Raw genomic sequence first — 19,350 nt, forward strand, 5'->3', positions numbered from 1 at the left:
TGGAAATACCTTGACTTATCTAGTCATTCCTCTACTAAGGGGCATTTAGGCTGTTCCCAGTCTAATGGTACAGGCCAGGTGGGGTGGCACACACCTGTAATTCCAGCTACTTGGGAGGCTGAGGCAGGAGAATTGCTTGAACCCAGGAGGTGGAGGTTGCAGTGAGCGGAGATCGCACCACTGCACTCCAGCCTGGCAACAGAACCAGACTTTGTCTCAAAAAAAAAAAAAAAAAAAAGAAGGTGCAATGAATGGCCTGTATGTGCATGATGTCATTGATTTGGAGTTTCTAAGTCAGTATATGTGCGTTGGTAATCTTGAGGTAATTTTGACAGATATTGTCAGAATGGCCCACACAGAGATTGCAACCCACGTGAGGAATTCTCAGGTTCCAACGATCCCCCAGAGTCAGTTCTGGGTTTCCGTGGTGATGCCAGCTCTAAACGGTACCCCCTCCCCCAGGTGGCCCATCCCCTGCACCCCTGCACCCCAAACGCAGCCCGACGAGCACGGGGGAGGCGGAGCTGAAGGAGGAGCGGCTGCCAGGCCGGAAGGCGAGCTGCAGCACCGCGGGGAGTGGGAGTCGAGGGCTGCCCCCCTCCAGCCCCATGGTCAGCAGCGCCCACAACCCCAACAAGGCAGAGATCCCAGAGCGGCGGAAGGACAGCACGAGCACCCCCGTGAGTGACCAGGGCTGGGGGGCAGGGCTGGGGGCGCCACCTGGGCCACATTCCTCAGGCCCTGCCTTCATCTCATTCCCCAGACGGAACTCCTTCTTACCAACTCCTTCTTCTACCCATTCATTCATTCAACAAACATTTATCGAGTGCCTCTGTTTGCCTGAGCTCAGTTTATACACTAACATTTGATGTTAGCGTATAAATTAGTGTTCTGTGTCAAAGAAGTGCAGAACGTACTCTTGGCAGAAAGGATTTAATACAGGAAATTAAGTGCTTTTAAAAATGTGGGAAAGGCCAGGCACAGTGGCTCATGCTTGTAATCCTGGCATTTTGGGAGGCCGAGGCGGGAGGATCACTTGAGGCCAGGAGTTCAAGAAGCATAGCAGACGCCATCTCAACTAAAAATCAAAAAAATTAGCCAGGCATCATGTTATGTACCTGTGGTCCCAGCTACTCGAAAGACCGAGGTGGGAGAATCACTTGAGCCCAGGAGGTTGAGGCTACAGGGAGCTGTGTTCCCGCCACTGCACTCCATTCTGGGTGACAGAGCAAAACCCTGTCTCAATAAATCAATAAATAAAATATTAATAGTAATTTAAAAAATCAGGCCAGGCACAGTGGCTTACGCTTGTAATCCCAGCACTTTGGGAGGCAGAGGTGGGCGGATCACTTGAGGTCAGGAATTTGAGACCTGCCTGGCCAATATGGTGAAACCCCGTCTCTACTAAAAATATAAAAATCAGCTGGGCGTGGTGGCGGGCACCTATAATCCCAACTACTTGGGAGGCTGAGGCAGGAGAATCGCTTGAACCCAGGAGGCGGAAGCTACAGTGAGCTAAGATTGCGCTACTGCACTCCAGGATAGGTGACAGAGTGAGACTCCATTTCAAAAAAAAAAAAAAAAAGCCAGGTGCAATGGCTCATGCCTGTAATCCCAGCACTTTGGGAGGCCAAGGCGGGCAGATCATGAGGTCAGGAGATCGAGACCGTCGTGGCTAACACAGTGAAACCTCAATTCTACTAAAAATACAAAAAATTAGCTGGGCATGGTGGCATGCACCTGTAGTCCCAGCTACTCTGGAGGGTGAGGCAGGAGAATCGCTTGAACCCGGGAGGCAGAAGTTGCAGTGAGCCAAGATCATACCACTGCACTCCAGTCTGGGTGACAGAGCAAGACTCTGTCTCAAAAAAAAAAAAAAAAAAGTCGTGGGAAGCAGCAGCAGCTTCCCCAGCTCCTCAGCTCTTCCGGCATCTACATTCGGTCCCACTCCCTGCTCTTCTGCTCTGCACATGTTCAGTAGCCGCCCCACGTGGCTGTGCCCTTGGCCTTTCGAGGCTGGTCACGGCAGGTTACTACCAGTCAAGTCCCAGCCTTGACCAGGGTGCACACAGGTGTGAGTCTGAGCCAATTGTGGGCCTAAACTTTTAAAAGTATGGGTCACCTGCCAGGCGCGGTGGCTCACGCCTATAATCCCAGCACTTTGGGAGTCCGAGGAGGGTGGATCATGAGGTCAAGAGATCGAGACCACCTGGCCAACATGGTGAAACCCCATCTATACTAAAAATACAAAAATTAGCTGGCTGTGGTGGCGCATGCCTGTAGTCCCAGCTACTCAGGAGGCTGAGGCAGGAGAATTGCTTGAACCCAGGAGGCAGAGGTTGCAGTGAGCCGAGATCGTGCCACTGCACTCCAGCCTGGTGACAGAGCAAGACTCTGTTTCAAAAAAAAAAAAAAAAAAAAAAAGCATGGGTCACCACCCACACAGACACAAAATACTTATAGTTATCCTTTACCATAAGATTTTGCTCTTTAACAAATAAGTTGGCTGGGCACGGTGGCTCATGCCTATAATCTCAGCACTTTGGGAGGCCCAAGGTGGGCGGATCATGAGGTCGGGAGTTCGAGACCAGCCTGGCCACCATGGTGAAACCCCATTTCTACTAAAAATACAAAACTTAGCCAGGCGTGGTGGTGCACGCCTGTAATCCCAGCTACTCAGGAGGCTGAGGCAGGAGAATTGCTTGAACCCAGGAGGCAGAAGTTGCAGTGAGCCGAGATCACGCCACTGCACTCCAGCCTGGGCGACAGAGCAAGACTCTGTCTCAAAACAAAACAAAACAAAACAAAAAGTCATAAAAATTAAGTTTTTAGTCAGACATGGTGGCTCACGCCTGTAATTCCAGCACTTTGCAAGGCTGAGGTGGGTGGATTGCTTGAGCTCAGGAGTTCGAGACCAACCTGTGCAAAATGGTGAGACCCCTTCCCTACAAAAAATAGAAAAATTAGTCCGGTGTGGTGGTGGCACGTGCTGGTAGTCCCAGCTACTTGGGAGGCTGAGGGAGGAGGATCACTTGAGTCCAGGAGGCGGAGGTTGCAGTGAGCCAAGATCGTGCCACTGCACTCCAGCCTGGGAGTCTCCAGAGGGAGACCTTGTCTCAAAGAAACAAACAAAAAAGTTTTTAAATACTAATTTTTCTCGTACGTTCTTGAGAACATTCATCTTTTTAACTTCTTCTTAGTGCTCTTGGTGCCCCTGGGTACTTCCAGTTTATTTTGGTTCTAAACACCCAAGGCAAACCAAGGTCTCACTGCATGGCTGTTTGCGAGGTAGGGGTGTTTCTCCAGAGGTCCTGACCATCAGGAGGCACCCAGCCGTGGTGGCTGGTGGTGTCTGGCTGTTACCAGCATTCACCAGCCTTGACCGGCTTTGACTGATTGTGACTGGCCTTCACTGGCAGTGCCTGACAGGGCCCCACTGAAGCTTTGACCACAAGTGTCCACCTGTTACCAGTGGCAGCCAGCTGTGGCCAGCATTAACCAGCCTTTACTGGCAGTGTCCAGCCATGACCAGTATTAACCAGCAGCAACTGACTGTGACCGGCTTTGACCAGCCTTGACTGGCCGTGACAACCCTTGGCCAACGGTATCTGGCTGTGACCAGTGGTGTCTGGCTATTACCACTTATGACCAGCTTTAACTGTCCCTGACTGTTGGTGACTGGCCATGACCAGCCTTAACTGGCTGTGACAGGCTTTGACCAGCAGTGTCTGGCCATGACCAGCAGTAGCCAGCAGCAACTGGCAATGACCGGCTGTGTTTGGTTTGGCTAGCTGTGACCCTGCCACCACCTGTGAGGACTGCTAGTCCAGGTTCAGGGCCCTGGACTCCAGGGCTGTGCAGAGCCCGGGGTCAGTACAGGGAGGGGAGTGGAATGTTGTGAGGGAACCCCGTGGGGATGGGCCAGGAGAGGGTGCACCTGAGGACAGCTCACTGGCTACCTAACAGCAGAAGGGCCTTGGGGAAACAGATCTTGAAGGCATCAGCTCAACTTCAGGCAGGTGGCACAGGAGGGAGGCCGGGATGCCTGTGTGTCCTGAGTATTCCGGATAAGTACAAATTCATGCCCCTTGGCTCTTCCCCAGCCCCGAGACCTGGAGCTTCACAATGCAGCCTCTGAGGCCCGTGTGTCAGAGAATGATCCACAACCCAGAGAATGGATGGGAGCGGCAGGGCCAAAGAAGGAGAGGATGAGGTGGTTAAAGAAAAAAGAAAACAAAATTGTAGGAAGGACTGGAGGAGCGGACAATGGGTGGGATTTGTAGGAACAACAGTCACAACCACACCACAGAACTGACCCACCAAGGGAGCTGCTCCTTCTGAGGCTGCCCCAGCACTGGTGAATTCAAGAGTGCATTGTTAGGCCAGGCATGGTGGCTCATGCCTGTAAGCCCAACAGTTTGGGAGGCCGAGGCGGTGAATCACTTGAGGTCAGGAGTTCAAGACCAACCTGGCCAACATGGCAAAATCCCATCTGTACAAAAAATACAAAAATTAGGGCCAGGCGCGGTGGCTTACGCCTGTAATCCCAGCACTTTGGGAGGCTGAGGCGGGCGGATCACGAGGTCAGGAGATCGAGACCATCCTGGCTAACACGGTGAAACCCCATCTCTACTAAAAATACAAAAAATTAGCCGGGCTTGGTGGCGGGCACCTGTAGTCCCAGCTACTCGGGAGGCTGAGGCAGGAGAATGGCATGAACCTAGGAGGCGGAGGTTGCAGTGAGCTGAGATTGCCCTACTGCACTCCAGCCTGGGTGACAGGGTGGGACTCTGTCTCAAAACAAAACAAAACAAAAAACCACATTGTCATGGCTGTAACCCAAGACTCAAAAACTTCATCCTCCATCAGAAGAGCTTCTTGATGCCCAGAGGGCTGGACAATAGGCACTGGGGCCCTGCTGAAGCAAAGACCTTCATCTCATAGCCTTGCCTGTGTGAGCTGAAGTCAAAGCAGGCAGGAGAGCAGCTGCTGCCCCATTTCCACCTTCCAAATCTTCATGAATGCAAAGATTGGCAGAACCCAACTTATATGCAGAACCTGAGCTGCAAAGGATTCTGGGAAATGTAGGACTTGGCTTTTTTGCATCTGAGTTCCCAAGAACAGCAAAGTACGAAAATATCCTCAACATAGGAACAGGAGAGTGGAGGCAGAGCTGGACATGGTGGCACACACATGTAGTCCCAGCTACTTGGGAGGCTGAGGTGGGAGGATTGCTTGAGGCCAGGAGTTCGAGACCAGCCTGGGCAACATGGTGAGATCCTATCTCTTAAAAAAGAGAAAAAGGGTGGAGGCAGTTTGAGAAAGTGGCCGGGACTCTGAAGCCACGTAGAGTTTGAATTACATTAATGAGCCGTGTGACCTTGGGCAAGTAACTTCACCTCTCTGATCTTTGATATCTCACTATGTGAAATGGGCTCATTAAAGAACCTGGGTCATTGTGAGGATCTTGTAAGATCTCATACGTGAAGTACTTCACATACTGGCACAGTAAGCACTCAGTGAATGAGAGCTATTGTTATTGCTAAACGAAACCCACACCTTAAGAAGGTAAAAAAGGAAAAGCAAATAAACCTCAAAGAAAGTAGAAGGGACCGGAATTGGTGGCTCATGCCTGTAATCCCAGCAGTTCGGGAGGCTGAGGCAGGAGGATTGCTTGAGCCCAGGAGTTCAAGACCAGCCTGGACAACATAGACCCTGTCTCTGCCAAAAATAAAAATTAGCTAAGTGTTGTGGCACATGCCTGAGGTTCTAGCTACTTGGGAGGCTGAGGTGAAAGGATCCACTTGAGGCCAGGAGGTCGAGGCTGCAGTGAGCCATGATCACCCCACTGCACTCCAGCCTAGGCATCAGAACAAGACCCCATCTCAAAAAAAGTAGAAGGGAGGAGGCATTAAAGAGAATAAATCAGTGAAGGAGAAAGAAGAGGTACAATAAAGCAACAAAACCTAAAGTTGGTTTTTTGAAAAGATTAATAAAATCAGTCTGGGCGTGGTGGCTCATGCCTGTAATCCCAGCACTTTGGGAGGCTGAGGCGGGTGGATCACTTGAGGTCAGGAGTTTGAGACCAGCCTGGCCAGCATGGTGAAACCCCATCTCTACCAAAAATACAAAAAATTAGCTGGATGTGGTGGTCCACACCTGTAATCCCAGCTACTCGGGAGACTAAGGCAGGTTCACTTGAATCTGGGAGGTGGAGGTTGCAGTGAGCTGAGATCATGCCATTGCACTCCAGCCTGGGCAAAATGAGTGAAACTCTGTCCAAAAAAATAAATAAATAAATAAAATCCAATGGACCCCTGGTAAAAATCAATTAAGGAAAAAAGACAGCAAACATGAATCACCAGTATCCACAATGAAAAGGGGAACTTTGTTCTAACATTAAAAGATAGTAAGATGATATTAGGAACTACTTTGTGCCAATAAATTTAACAGCTTAGATGAAATGGACACATTACTTTAAAAACACACTGTATCAAAACTGACACAAGAAGAAATAGAAAACCTGAACAGTCTTATATTCTTGTTAAAGAAATTGAATTCGTAACTGAAAACCTTCCCTATAAAGAAAATTTTTGGCTTGGATGACTCCCACCAGTGGAATTCTTCCAAACACTTAAAGAAGAAATAACACTAACCTTAGACAAACTTCCAGAGAATAGAAAAAGAGGGCTCTCTTCCTAACATGTTTATGAGGCAGCATAATCCTGATATTCCCTGTGTTCCCAGAGCTCACAGCCCAGTATGGGATGGGGACATATATGAGAACAGACATTGACAGCACAGTGATTGAAGCTGCAGTGGGGAGCCCAGGGGCCTGTGGGAACCCAAAGGAGGAGGCACGTGACTCAGCCTGGGGCCGGGGGTGGTGGTAGATTATGAACTGACACCTGAAAGATATGTAGGAGTGAGTCAGGGGAAAAGGTAGGAGTAATGTTCTAACAGGTGAGACAGCCAGTGCACAGGCTAGTCACAGTGACAGAATGTGGCATGAATAAGTACATTAGCAAACGTTTGGTGTGGCTGGGCTGGACCTCAAGAAGGTGGGCATTGCTGGGAGAAGAGCGGTGGACAAGGATGCCCCCTGGAAACCTTCCCTGCCTCGTTTTCCCTCAGTGCCCCCCTCTTCTCCGGTCTCCAGGGGTCTCCCCTGACTCAGCCTCGGTGGCTGGGATTACTCATGAACCTTTCACATCTTTGGGACCTTTCACCATCTCCTACTCACCCTGGGTTCCCACATGAGCCCCTGACTTATTCATCGATGGGGAGGGCAGAGAAGGGAAGAGGGAGAAGCTCAGGGGCATGTCTTCACCCCCTCACTCCCTTCCTGGCTGTGTCTCCTGCAGAACAACCTCCCTCCTAGCATGATGACCCGCAGAAACACCTACGTTTGCACAGAACGCCCGGGGGCTGAGCGCCCGTCACTGTTGCCAAATGGGAAAGAAAACAGGTACGGAGGGGGCAGCAACAGGGTGAGGGGTGGGAAGTAGGGGGTAGGTGAACAGGACCTCCCTTGATCTGAGATGATAGGCATTGGAGGCTGGTGCCATGGGGACCAGAGAGTGAGTGTATCTGCCCTGCCCTTGGCAGAATCGACCCATGTACCCCCCTGAAAATCCTCCCCACTTAATTAATTAGTCTTAAGCACCAGGAAAGCAGTTGGCCCTGTTCTCCGCCTACAAGCCTTGGGAACCTGAATTGATTTTTTGAATGATCCATTTTTAGAACTCGAGAGAAGCCCCAGAATGTCACAGCTTCAGCGTCATCTGGTTGGCTGGTTTTCCGGCTTGTTGGCCTGAGTCTGTGAGGTCTCTTCCAGCTGGCAAGGGAGGGAAACCAGTTCAGACTGGCTGGAGCAGAGAGAGGGAAGGGATTGGTTCACATCACAGGTCAAGGCCAGCTAGAATGGGGCCAGCTCCAGGATGAGGACACTGCCCCCCACCAGGGCTGTAGGGCAGGTTGATGGCCAACACCAGGGCACACTCTGGGATGCACCTGATTAGTGGGTGCAGGTGTTCCCACTGGGTGTGGGCAGAGGAATGGGGTAGTTAACAGTCACAAATCTGTCCAGGCACAGTGGCTCATGCCTGTAATACCAGCACTTTGGGAGGCTGAGGCAGGTGGATCAAGAAGTCAGGAGATCGAGACCATCCTGGCTAACATGGTGACACCCCGTCTCTACTAAAAATACCAAAAAAAAAAAAAAATTAGCTGGGTGCAGTGGTGGGCACCTGTAGTCCCAGCTACTCTGGAGGCAGAGGCAGGACAATGGCGTGAACCTGGAAGGCGGAGTTTGCAGTGAGCCGAGATCACGCCACTGCACTCCAGCCTGGGCAACAGAGCGAGACTCCATCTCAAAAAAAAAAAGTCACGATTCTGTGAATACTCAGTTCTGAGTTCGAATCTTACCTCTGTGCTCACACTGCTAGCAGAATGACCGGGTAAATCCCTGTGCCTCTGTTTCCTCCTCGGTAAAATGGGCTTGATGCTGGCCGGGCATGGTGGCTCACACCTGTAATCCCAGCACTTTGTGAGGCCGAGGTGGGCAGATCACCTGAGGTCAGGAGTTCGAGACCAGCCTGGCCAACATGATGAAACCCTGTCTCTACTAAAAATACAAAAATTAGCCAGGAACGATGTCATGTGCATGTAATCCCAGCTACTCAGAAGGCTGAATGAGGCAGGAGAATCGCTTGAACCTGGGAGGCAGAGGTTGCAGTGAGCTGGGATTGCGCCACTGTACTCCAGCCTGAGCCACACAGCAAGAATCCGTCTCATAAAAAAAAGGGCTGATGCTGTCCACTTCCAGGCCCCATTATAGAGATGCAGTAGAGATCAGGTGTGTCCTGTACCTGGCACTGGGTCTGATGCTTAGGAGGCCTTCATTCAGTGACTTGAGAGTGCTTTTTTTTGGTGGTTATCAAATAACAATAGTGAACATTCATGAAGCAGCAGCTACATGCCAGGCTTCTATGTCTATTGCCTGGCTCAGTGCCCCTAACAACTCTGTGAGGTAGATCCTAATATCTCCATTTTACAGCTGAGGACATAAGGCACAGAGAGGTTAAGTAACTTATCCAAGGCCACACAGCTGGTAAGTCAAGAAGCAGATTCCAGACTTGACTCCAGAATCTTATTTGTAATCACTGTAGTACATGGCCTTCCAGTTCTGCTCAAGAGATAGTGGAACAGTTAAATTACAGACTCAGACAAAAAAAATCAAAAATTAAAAAAAAATTTAAAAACAACAAAAAATAAAAAGTATAGACTCAGCTAGCTGCTGTAATAAAAACAAAGAGATCCCAGGGTAGAGTAATTTAAATAAAAAGGACGTTTAGTCCGGAGGGTCCTCCAAGGACCCAGGTAAGTTCTTCCAGCCCCAAAATGAGTTTCCAGCTCTGGGACTGAGGCCGCTGCACCAGCAGCCATCATTTCCCAATCAGGAAGAAGTGGGGAAAGAGTAGGGGACAAGCAACAACTCTTTGTAAAGGCGTCACCCAGAGATGGTACAGAGCACTTCTGCTTATATCCCATTGGCCGGAGCATGGTCACATAACCATCTCTAGCTGCAAGAGAGTCTGGGAAATGTAGTCTCTGGCTGGGTGGCCATGTGCAGTGCTCATACTCTTAGGGGTTTGGTTACCAAGAACGAAACAGGGAGGATGGATTCTAAGGGAGAAGTAACAGCCTCTGCCACAATCAGGATTCTTCTCTGAGATCCAGGCTGGGCCTGGAGTCCCTGGGAGGATAGAAATTGGAGGTCTGGGCTGGGCGCAGTGGCTCACACCTGGAATCCCAGCACTTTGGGAGGCCAAGGCCAGTGGATCACCTGAGGTGAGGAGTTTGAGACCAGCCTGGCCAACATGGTGAAACCCCATCTCTCCTGAAAATACATAAACTACCCAGGCGTGGTGCTGCATGCCTATAGTCCCAGCTACTCAGGAGGCTGAGGCAGGAGAATCACTTGAACCCAGGAGGCAGAGGTTGCAGTAGCCAAGATTGCCCCATGGCCCTTCAGCCTAGGTGACAGAGTGAGACTCTGTCTCAAAAAAAAAAAAAAAAAAAATTAGCCAGGCATGGTGGCACACGCTTGTAATCCCAGCTACTCAGGAGGGTGAGGCAGGAGAATTGAACTCAGGAGATGGAGGTCTGGCCCCTGCTGTCGACTAGGAGGGTCCGAGGGGCTGGAGGAGGGTCCTGGGACAGTGGAACCCCCACTGCCCAGATTACCATAGTGAATACAGGTATCCTTGACCTTTACATCTATCCCTTTCCTGATTTTAGATGGTGAGAGTTCAGATAGCAAAGTGTTTGCCAAGTTGATTTGGTTCCTGAGGTTTCGGCAAATAGCAAGGAAGTCACCCAAAAATGTCTGTGCATCTATTCAGTTGCTGCGTTTAGAGAGAGGAGAGTTGTGATAGGAGATGATTTGGAGCGGGTAGAGTTTGAAGAAGGGACAGTTTGAAGGAGGGGTAATAGGAGAGGAGAGAGTCAGTAAAATAATGCTAGGATTGTATAGTGCACAGCCTGCACAACTGTACGTTGCAGCCCTGTCTCTGAGTTCCAGGCTGGTTGCAGTCCCTGGTCTCAGGACAGGAATGTGAAGAATCAAAGGGACTGGGGCCCTGGCCTGCCTCAGTCCCCCACCCTGACTTGTCTGTCTCTGCCCACAGCTCAGGCACCCCACGGGTGCCCCCTGCCTCCCCCTCCAGTCACAGCCTGGCACCCCCATCAGGGGAGCGGAGCCGCCTGGCACGTGGTTCCACCATCCGCAGCACCTTCCATGGTGGCCAGGTCCGGGACCGGCGGGCAGGGGGTGGGGGTGGTGGGGGTGTGCAGAATGGGCCCCCTGCCTCTCCCACACTGGCCCATGAGGCTGCACCCCTGCCCGCCGGGCGGCCCCGCCCCACCACCAACCTCTTCACCAAGCTGACCTCCAAACTGACCCGAAGGTGAGCTCCGCGGGGATGGCAGGGGCAGGGCGGGGCGGGGGGCCGATGGGACCTAACCTGTCTTCCACTCTGCTCTGTCTCCTGTACCCCAACATTTCCTCTTCCTCCTCCTCCTCCTCCTCGTTTCCTCCTCCTCCTCCTCCTTTCCTCCTCCCCTGTCACCCCTCACCTCCCTCCTCACACTGCAGGGTTACCCTCGATCCCTCTAAACGGCAGAACTCTAACCGCTGTGTTTCGGGCGCCTCTCTGCCCCAGGGATCCAAGATCAGTAAGTCCCGTCCATGCCCTGTTCTCGCTGGCTCTGCCTCCCTGCCTGCATGTCTGACCTGTGTGTGCGGGCATTGGGAGGGGGCTCTGTGGATGTGAGGGTCTGTGCGTGGGGTCTGGTTGTTCATTTACTCACAGAAGCACAGCCTATGGAGCCAGACTCGGGGGTTCAAATGGCAGCTCTGCCAAGTGACCTTGAGCAAGTCACTCAAGGTCTCTGGGCCTGGTTTTCCTCTTCTGTAAAATGGGTATAGTAATAACAATACCTGTCTCCTAGGGTTATTGTGAGGACTAAATGAAGTGACGTATGGACTGAGCGTAGAACATTGCCTTGGAAAGTGCTTTACATGTGTATTAGTTATTAATTGCTATTATTCATTGAGCCCCTACTGTGTGCCTGGCACTGTCCTAGGCCCTGTAGTAGAGGGTGAGCAAAATGTACAAAACTCCTGCCCTGGCAGACCCAACATTCTACTAAGGGATCTAGACAAAAAACAAAGAAATAAGTAAAATATACTTACTATATAGACTGCTAGGTAGTGCGAAGTAACTAAGAAGAAAAATAGAGTAGGAGCCAAATTTGGTGGCTTATGCTTGTAATCACAGCACTTTGGGAGGCTGAGGCGAGGGGATCACTTGAGCCCAGAAGTTCAAGACCAGCCTGGACAACGTAGCAAGATCCTATCTCTACAAAAAAGTAAATAAATTGGCCGGGCGTGGTGACTGCACCTGTATTCCCATGGAATTGGGAGGCCGAGGCAGGAGGATCACTTGAACGCAGGAGGTCAAGGCTGCTGTGAGCTATGATCATCAGTCTTGGCAACAGAGGGAGAACCTGTCTCTAAAAAAAAAAAAAAAAAAAAAAAAAATTGAACAGGGAGGGGAATAAGGGGTGTGGGGAAGGGATGGGGTGCAGCATTAAATGGGCAGGCCTCTGGATGAGGTGGCTCAGGCCAGCAATCCCAGCACTTTGGACAGATGACTTGAGTCCAGGAGTTTGAGACCAGCCTGGGCAATGTGGCAAAGCCCCATCTCTACAAAACAAAACAAAAAACAAAAAGCAGATGTGGCACGCGCCTGTAGTCCCAGCTACTTCAGGGGCCAAGGCAGGAAGATTGCTTGAGCCTGGGAGGTTGAGGCTGCAGCGAGCTGAGATCACGCCACTCCTGCATGACAGAGTGAGACTCTGTCTCAAAAAAAGAAAAAAGGGCAGGCCTCACGAAGGAGGTGTTGTTTGAGCAAAGCATGAATGTATATGTGAGCGAGGGAGTGTGTGTGTGTGCACACGTGCGTGTGTCTCTCTCTTTCTCTCTGTGGCCACTTATCTATGTAAGGGTGTGTCTCTGCCCACTCCCCTCCCTTTCATCTTCCACATTCTTCAGTATCTTTCCTGTGACCTGCACTAACCATTTCAGAATGAGCCCCGTTATGGGGATGGACAAGGAGATCAAATCCTGACTCCAGGCCCTCACCAGCCCGGAGGGACTGGGGTTGAGGCAGGGGCTGCTTGGAGTCCCAGAGGCAGTGGGTTGCGGGAGGTGGGTTCCCTATGTCCAGATTAGACACTCTGTCCCCCTCCCCTCCCCTAGGGTCGCAGACGAACCTGAGAGAATCGGGGGACCTGAGGTCACAAGGTGAGTGCTTGGGCCTACCCCTGACTGCCACTTCCCCTCTCCTGCCTCAGCACCTCCCGACACTTACCCCAGGGCATTAGATGGGGCCCCAGTCTCATCCTGCAAGGCCAACTTCCTGAAATGCCCTGTGGCCCCAGCCTTCTCTGCCAGCTCCTCTCATTCCCACCCAACCCCAAGCACCTTCCCTTGATCATCTTAAACTTCAGCCTCCGGCTGGGTGCCATGGCCCAAGCCTGTAATCCCAGCACTTTGGGAGTCCAAGGGAGGCAGATCACCTGAGGTCGGGAGTTTGAGACCAGCCTAAGATGGAGAAACCCCGTCGTTACTAAAAATACAAAAATTAGCCGGGCGTAGTGGCGCATGCCTGTAATCCCAACTACTCGGGAGGCTGAGGCAGGAGAATCGCTTGAACCCGGGAGGCAGAGGTTGCGGTGAGCTGGATTGTGCCATCGCACTCCAGCCTGGGTAGCAAGAGTGAAACTCCGTCTGAAAAAAAAAAAAAAAAAAAAAAAAAAGCCTCATCCCATCCACAACTCAACTCCTCTTCTGGTCAATGCCCCCACCTCCTTTTGCCTCTCATCCAGTCATGGCACAATGTTTGCTGGCAGCTCAGGGCCAGCAGGAGGCAAACATCTGTACGGACCCAGATCATGAAGATTTTAGGCTTTGAGGGCCAGGCACCCTGTGTCACGCCTGTTCAGTTGTGCCATTGTAGTGCAAAAGCAGTCATATTCAACACAAAACAAATGGGTATGGCAGTGTTCCAATGAAACTTTATTTACAAAAGCAGACAGCACTGGAGTTTGCCAAGCCCTGGTTTTGTCTGAGTTCCCGGTTTAGAGACCCAAGTGGAAACCGGAGCCTTCCCAGCAGCTGCAACAAACTGCCAGGGCTGACTCTCATTGGTTGGGACTTGGTCACATGCTCATTCCTAAACCAATGCCTGCAGCCAGAGAGGAGAAGTACTCTGGTTGGTCAGACCTGGTCATGTGGTCACCCTTGACCCAAGCACAGTGGCCGGGAAGTAGAATGCTATCATTGGCAGAGCTGAGTCGTGCTCACCCAAGCTGAGGGGCGGCCCCACCGGAACAAGGGAGGCTAGTCCTGGGATGCTCATGTAGAGCAGCACTCTCGTACTTCAGGCGGGACGTTTCTTTGTTGTGCAGGGCCCTCTTGCACATTGGAGAATGTTTTTCATTCCTGACCTACCCCATCCCCAACCTAGTCAGTGCCAGCAGTGCTCCCATCCTAAGACATGTGACAATCAAAAAGCCCCCAGAGGCCGAGCACAGTGGCTTATGCCTGTAATTCCAACAACTCAGGAGGCCAAGGCAGGAGGATCACTTGAGCCCAGGAGGTCGAGGCTGCAGTGAGCTGTGATTGCACTACTGCATTGCAAGACCCTGTCTCAAAAAAACTAAGAAGTGGCCGGGCACTGTGGCTCTCGCCTGTAATCCCAGCACTTTGGGAGGCCAAGGCAGGTGGATCACCTGAGGCCGGGAGTTTAAGACCTGCCTGCCCAACATGGTGAGACTCCGTCTCTACTAAAAATACAAAAATTAGCTGGCCGTGGTGCCTGTTCTCCCAGCTACTTGGGAAGCTGAGGCAGGAGAATTGCTTGAACCCGGGAAGCAGAGGTTGCAGTGGGCCAAGATTGTGTCATTGCCTTCCAGCCTGGGCGACAAGAGCGAAACTCTGTCTCAAAAAAAAAAAAAAAAAAAAAAGCCGGGCGCAGTGGCTCACACCTGTAATCCCAGCACTTTGGGAGGTCGAGGCGGGCAGATCACAAGGTCAGGAGATCGAGACCATCCTGGCTGACACGGTGAAACCGTGTCTCTACTAAAAATACAAAAATTAGCTGGGGCCAGGCGTGGTGGCGCGTGCCTGTAATCCCAACTACTCAGGAGGCTATGGCAGGAGAATCGCTTCAACCCAGGAGGCGGAGGTTGTGGTGAGCCGAGATCGTTCCATTGCACTCCAGCCTGGGTAACAAGAGCAAAACTCCGTCTCAAAAAAAAAAAAAAAAAGAAAAGGAAAAAGAAATTTCTCATTCAAACATTCAAACCATGTGGCCAAGCCAGGCTGGTAAGGCCACTGTGATCTATGCGGTCATTCAGGTCCCCAGGTTATTGCATCCCGATTCCCTGGAGCCCTTGTCATCTTCACAGTTGAGGCTGGCCTGTGCCACTGCTAAGTCCAGCTCCTGGGAGATGTGGGACAGGAGAGCCTGGCACATGCAGGTTCTTTGAAGGAACTGATGTGGATGGCACATCTCACTTCTGCTCATGTCCCAGAATTTACAGACAAGGTCACACCTGGTTGCAAGGGAGGCTGGAAAGTGTGGTCTCTAGCTGGGCAGCTCTGTATCCAGTTGAAACTGTCGCTGGGGTAACAGGGGAAGATGTTTTTTGAGGGGATGGCTAGGAATGTGTCCCGAATTGGGAAGAGTTGTCCCTTCAGCCCTCCACCACATTCCTCTTCGCTCCCATCTCTGACCCCTGACATCTTCTCGCCTCAGTTGCCATCTACCTTGGGATCAAACGGAAACCGCCCCCCGGCTGCTCCGATTCCCCTGGAGTGTGAAGCTGACCAGCTCGCGCCCTCCTGAGGCCCTGATGGCAGCTCTGCGCCAGGCCACAGCAGCCGCCCGCTGCCGCTGCCGCCAGCCACAGCCGTTCCTGCTGGCCTGCCTGCACGGGGGTGCGGGCGGGCCCGAGCCCCTGTCCCACTTCGAAGTGGAGGTCTGCCAGCTGCCCCGGCCAGGCTTGCGGGGAGTTCTCTTCCGCCGTGTGGCGGGCACCGCCCTGGCCTTCCGCACCCTCGTCACCCGCATCTCCAACGACCTCGAGCTCTGAGCCACCACGGTCCCAGGGCCCTTACTCTTCCTCTCCCTTGTCGCCTTCACTTCTACAGGAGGGGAAGGGGCCAGGGAGGGGATTCTCCCTTTATCATCACCTCAGTTTCCCTGAATTATATTTGGGGGCAAAGATTGTCCCCTCTGCTGTTCTCTGGGGCCGCTCAGCACAGAAGAAGGATGAGGGGGCTCAGCGGGGGGAGCTGGCACCTTCCTGGAGCCTCCAGCCAGTCCTGTCCTCCCTCGCCCTACCAAGAGGGCACCTGAGGAGACTTTGGGGACAGGGCAGGGGCAGGGAGGGAAACTGAGGAAATCTTCCATTCCTCCCAACAGCTCAAAATTAGGCCTTGGGCAGGGGCAGGGAGAGCTGCTGAGCCTAAAGACTGGAGAATCTGGGGGACTGGGAGTGGGGGTCAGAGAGGCAGATTCCTTCCCCTCCCGTCCCCTCACGCTCAAACCCCCACTTCCTGCCCCAGGCTGGCGCGGGGCACTTTGTACAAATCCTTGTAAATACCCCACACCCTCCCCTCTGCAAAGGTCTCTTGAGGAGCTGCCGCTGTCACCTACGGTTTTTAAGTTATTACACCCCGACCCTCCTCCTGTCAGCCCCCTCACCTGCAGCCTGTTGCCCAATAAATTTAAGAGAGTCCCCCCCTCCCCAATGCTGACCCTAGGATTTTCCTTCCCTGCCCTCACCTGCAAATGAGTTAAAGAAGAGGCGTGGGAATCCAGGCAGTGGTTTTTCCTTTCGGAGCCTCGGTTTTCTCATCTGCAGAATGGGAGCGGTGGGGGTGGGAAGGTAAGGATGGTCGTGGAAGAAGGCAGGATGGAACTCGGCCTCATCCCCGAGGCCCCAGTTCCTATATCGGGCCCCCCATTCATCCACTCACACTCCCAGCCACCATGTTACACTGGACTCTAAGCCACTTCTTACTCCAGTAGTAAATTTATTCAATAAACAATCATTGACCCATGCCTACTCCATGCCAGGCCCAGTGCTGGACACAGAGACATGAAGCTCTGTCTGTGGGAGACAGGGATTCTGACACAGACACCGGACAAACCATTGTCTTGGGGAGCCCAGAAGAGAAAGTGGGCAGGGTGGGGTCATTGGGGAAGATGCTCTAGAGGAATTAATGCTGGAATGGGGTGTTGAAGGATGAGTAGGAGTTAGTTAGGCATTGAGTTTGCCCTGGGCAAAAGCCCAGAAGTGGGAGTATGTGGTATATCTTCAGAGAACTGGGTAATTTCAGTGTGGCTGCTGTGTTGGGCATGGATGGAGAATCAGCAAGAGAAATGCTGTATTAGGACTAATAATCCATCTACGCTGCTTAAGCAAAAAGGTATTTGTTGGTTTATGTTACTTAATAGTCCAGGGGCACCTGGCTTCAGGTAGGTTTGATCCAGGCATCAGGCCATTGCATCTATTTTTTCAGTGTAAGTTGAATTCTAGTAATTTTTATCAAGTAAGGGCTCCTTTCCTGGTGGCACAGATGACTTCAGCAGTTAGAAGTTTCTATCCCTCCAGCTTTCTGCAGCAGAAAGACCCTCATTGTCAGTTTCCCAGCAAAAGTCCCAGGGCAGACTCTCATTGGCCCAAATGGGCCATGTGATTTTCTCTAAACCAATCACTGTGACTCTAGAGTGGCCAGACTCAGAGCTGCACTTAGTAGGGGTTCCTCAAAGGAAGGTCAAGTGTCATGAGCAGGAGAAAAGGCATGGGAGCTGGACAGATTATAGTGGTTGAAGTCTGTGCAGTACAGAAGGGCGGAGCTTATTCACACAGCACCTTTGGGGCCAAAATGAATAAGCTGGACTTTCTCCCCATGGCACTGGGGAACCATGGAAGTTCAGGGAACTTCAGGGAAGAGGCTTGGTCAATTCCTGAGAGCATCCTCTGTGCTGGGGACACAGTGGTAATCAAGACAGCCCCAACACTGCCCTCATAGAGCTCACAGTCCAATGGAGGAGGCAGATGTGTCCTCAGGCAGCGACTGGGCAGGGCTGGTATAGGGGAGTCCAGAGGTGATGCCTGCCTCAGCCAGGGAGGGCTTCCTGGAGGAGAAGGAGCCAGCTAGACATGGATAGGAGTGCGTTTTAGGCACAGCAAATGGCACATACAAGGGCCAGGGAGCAAGAGAGAGGACAGGTCCTCAACAAATGGCATGTGACTTTGTAAGTGTAGAATTGCTGTGAGGTATGGGGCTAGGGGCGTCAGTAGGGCCTTGAAGGTTATGGACAGGGGCCTGGGCTTTCTTCCAAGGGCACTGGGGGAGCCATGGCAAGGTTGTAGGTAGGGTAGAGATGGGCGGGTTTGTGCTATGTGCAGGGTGGAAGGGAGGGAAGTTGACAGGTCAGAAGATCAGGAAAGAGGTCGGGGCTGGACAGATGGGGAGAGCGCAGATAGATTTAAGAGAGTCCTGTGAGGCAAAGTGGGCAGGACCTGGTAACAGGTGTCTGGACTGTGGCTTTGGCTGGCTCAGAAGGTCCCCACTGGCGTGTGTGGTCTATGTAGCCTCTGGGTGTGGAGCTGGGATCTTCAACTGGGGACAGTACAGTAAAGAACATCACAGCATCTCACAGGTTCTGCATACCTTAATGTTTAGAATCTCTCCTAACCTTCCTTGTAGTAATCTCCCTGGGAACTTTTGGGGACATCCCTAGGCCTCAATTTCCCCTCTGTAAAACAGAGGGCAGATTGAACTACAAGGGCCCTTAATCTCTGTGACTCTTGAGGTTTGAAAAAGCACCTTAGGTTCCTGAGGGCTTTGTCGGTTCTTCCATTTACTCCCACCTCACTTTTTTTTTTCCCTAAAACGTTTGTCTTTTGGGGCCCACCGACTGTGTCCTTGTTAACGTAGACATTGGCCTGTTTGACTGGGTGGAGGTGATTGACGTGCCCAACACCCAATGCATGTTCAGCTACTGCTTGACTTCTATTAACTCTTCTCCCTCCACCAATTGCTCTACCACACCTCTTTCCTGTTCCTTCCTGGGACTGAGTTCTCCAAAAGGCCTATCCCTAAAGACTTCATGGGGATGCTCAGACTCACAGATTGGAGAGGGAAACAGCTTGGTCAAAGACATTGAGGTGGGAATTGGAGGGTGTCAGGTGTGAAAGAATCAGAGGAGTAATGGGGAAAGAACTGGAAAGGTGAGCCTCCAGCAAATGGTATGCATTTCAGTGTGGCCTTGAGTTGCAAAATAACAGAAAAGCTTTCTAGGAGAAATGGGGAGCCATGGCAGGTTCTTGAGAAAGTAAGGGACTGGCAGCAGCTACAGAGGGATGAAGTCAGACGGGACAGAAGGAGGCCACTGAGAAGCAGAATATAGGTAGATGTGACGAGCTGCATGGGAGGTCTCAAAACTGGAGACCGTTGGGCTAAATTCAAGTTTCAGACATTTCGTTTGGCTGCATTCCTCCCCAGCGTGGACCTCGTGTTTGAGATCTGAGCATGACTAATTCAAAGCCATAGTTGGAAAGGGCCCATGCTTTGGGTGAGTGACACTGGGCTCAGTGTCTCTCTGGGTCTCAGATTCCCCATAGAGCCTTCTAATTTTTGGACTAGATTCTGTGACCTAACTTTGCCTCATTTTAGACCCGGGATAAGACATGTTTAGTACA

The 19,350-nt window shown here is 51.7% G+C and overlaps 1 protein-coding gene across 3 annotated transcripts in view, besides 1 other annotated feature; it reads left to right on the forward strand.

Annotated features, from left to right (window-relative positions):
- The window catches only part of MARK4 (microtubule affinity regulating kinase 4), a 54,014-nt gene extending 35,714 nt beyond the window's left edge, over positions 1–18,300 (forward strand). For 2 of the 3 annotated variants that reach the window (NM_001199867.2, XM_006723307.5), the window contains 5 exons: positions 463–680; positions 7,365–7,468; positions 10,692–10,970; positions 12,827–12,871; positions 15,390–18,300. In NM_001199867.2, coding sequence (NP_001186796.1) covers positions 463–680; positions 7,365–7,468; positions 10,692–10,970; positions 12,827–12,871; positions 15,390–15,726 — 983 coding nt within the window. In that variant the 3' untranslated portion in view covers positions 15,727–18,300. Of the gene's footprint in view, positions 1–462; positions 681–7,364; positions 7,469–10,691; positions 10,971–11,158; positions 11,239–12,826; positions 12,872–15,389 lie in introns of all 3 variants that reach the window. The other variant, NM_031417.4, reaches the window with a different exon arrangement.
- Positions 4,650–4,852: a silencer, noted in NCBI's record as "fragment chr19:45794892-45795094 (GRCh37/hg19 assembly coordinates)". NCBI's record gives its function as "represses an EF-1alpha promoter that drives an FKBP-Casp9 reporter gene in an ReSE screen in phorbol 12-myristate 13-acetate-treated (for megakaryocytic differentiation) K562 erythroleukemia cells {active_cell/tissue: K562(+PMA)}" and the evidence as "EXISTENCE:reporter gene assay evidence [ECO:0000049][PMID:32094911]".
- Positions 18,301–19,350: the final 1,050 nt, after the last annotated feature.

Source organism: Homo sapiens, chromosome 19 (genome assembly GCF_000001405.40).
Source record: "Homo sapiens chromosome 19, GRCh38.p14 Primary Assembly".
NCBI lineage: Eukaryota > Metazoa > Chordata > Mammalia > Primates > Hominidae > Homo > Homo sapiens.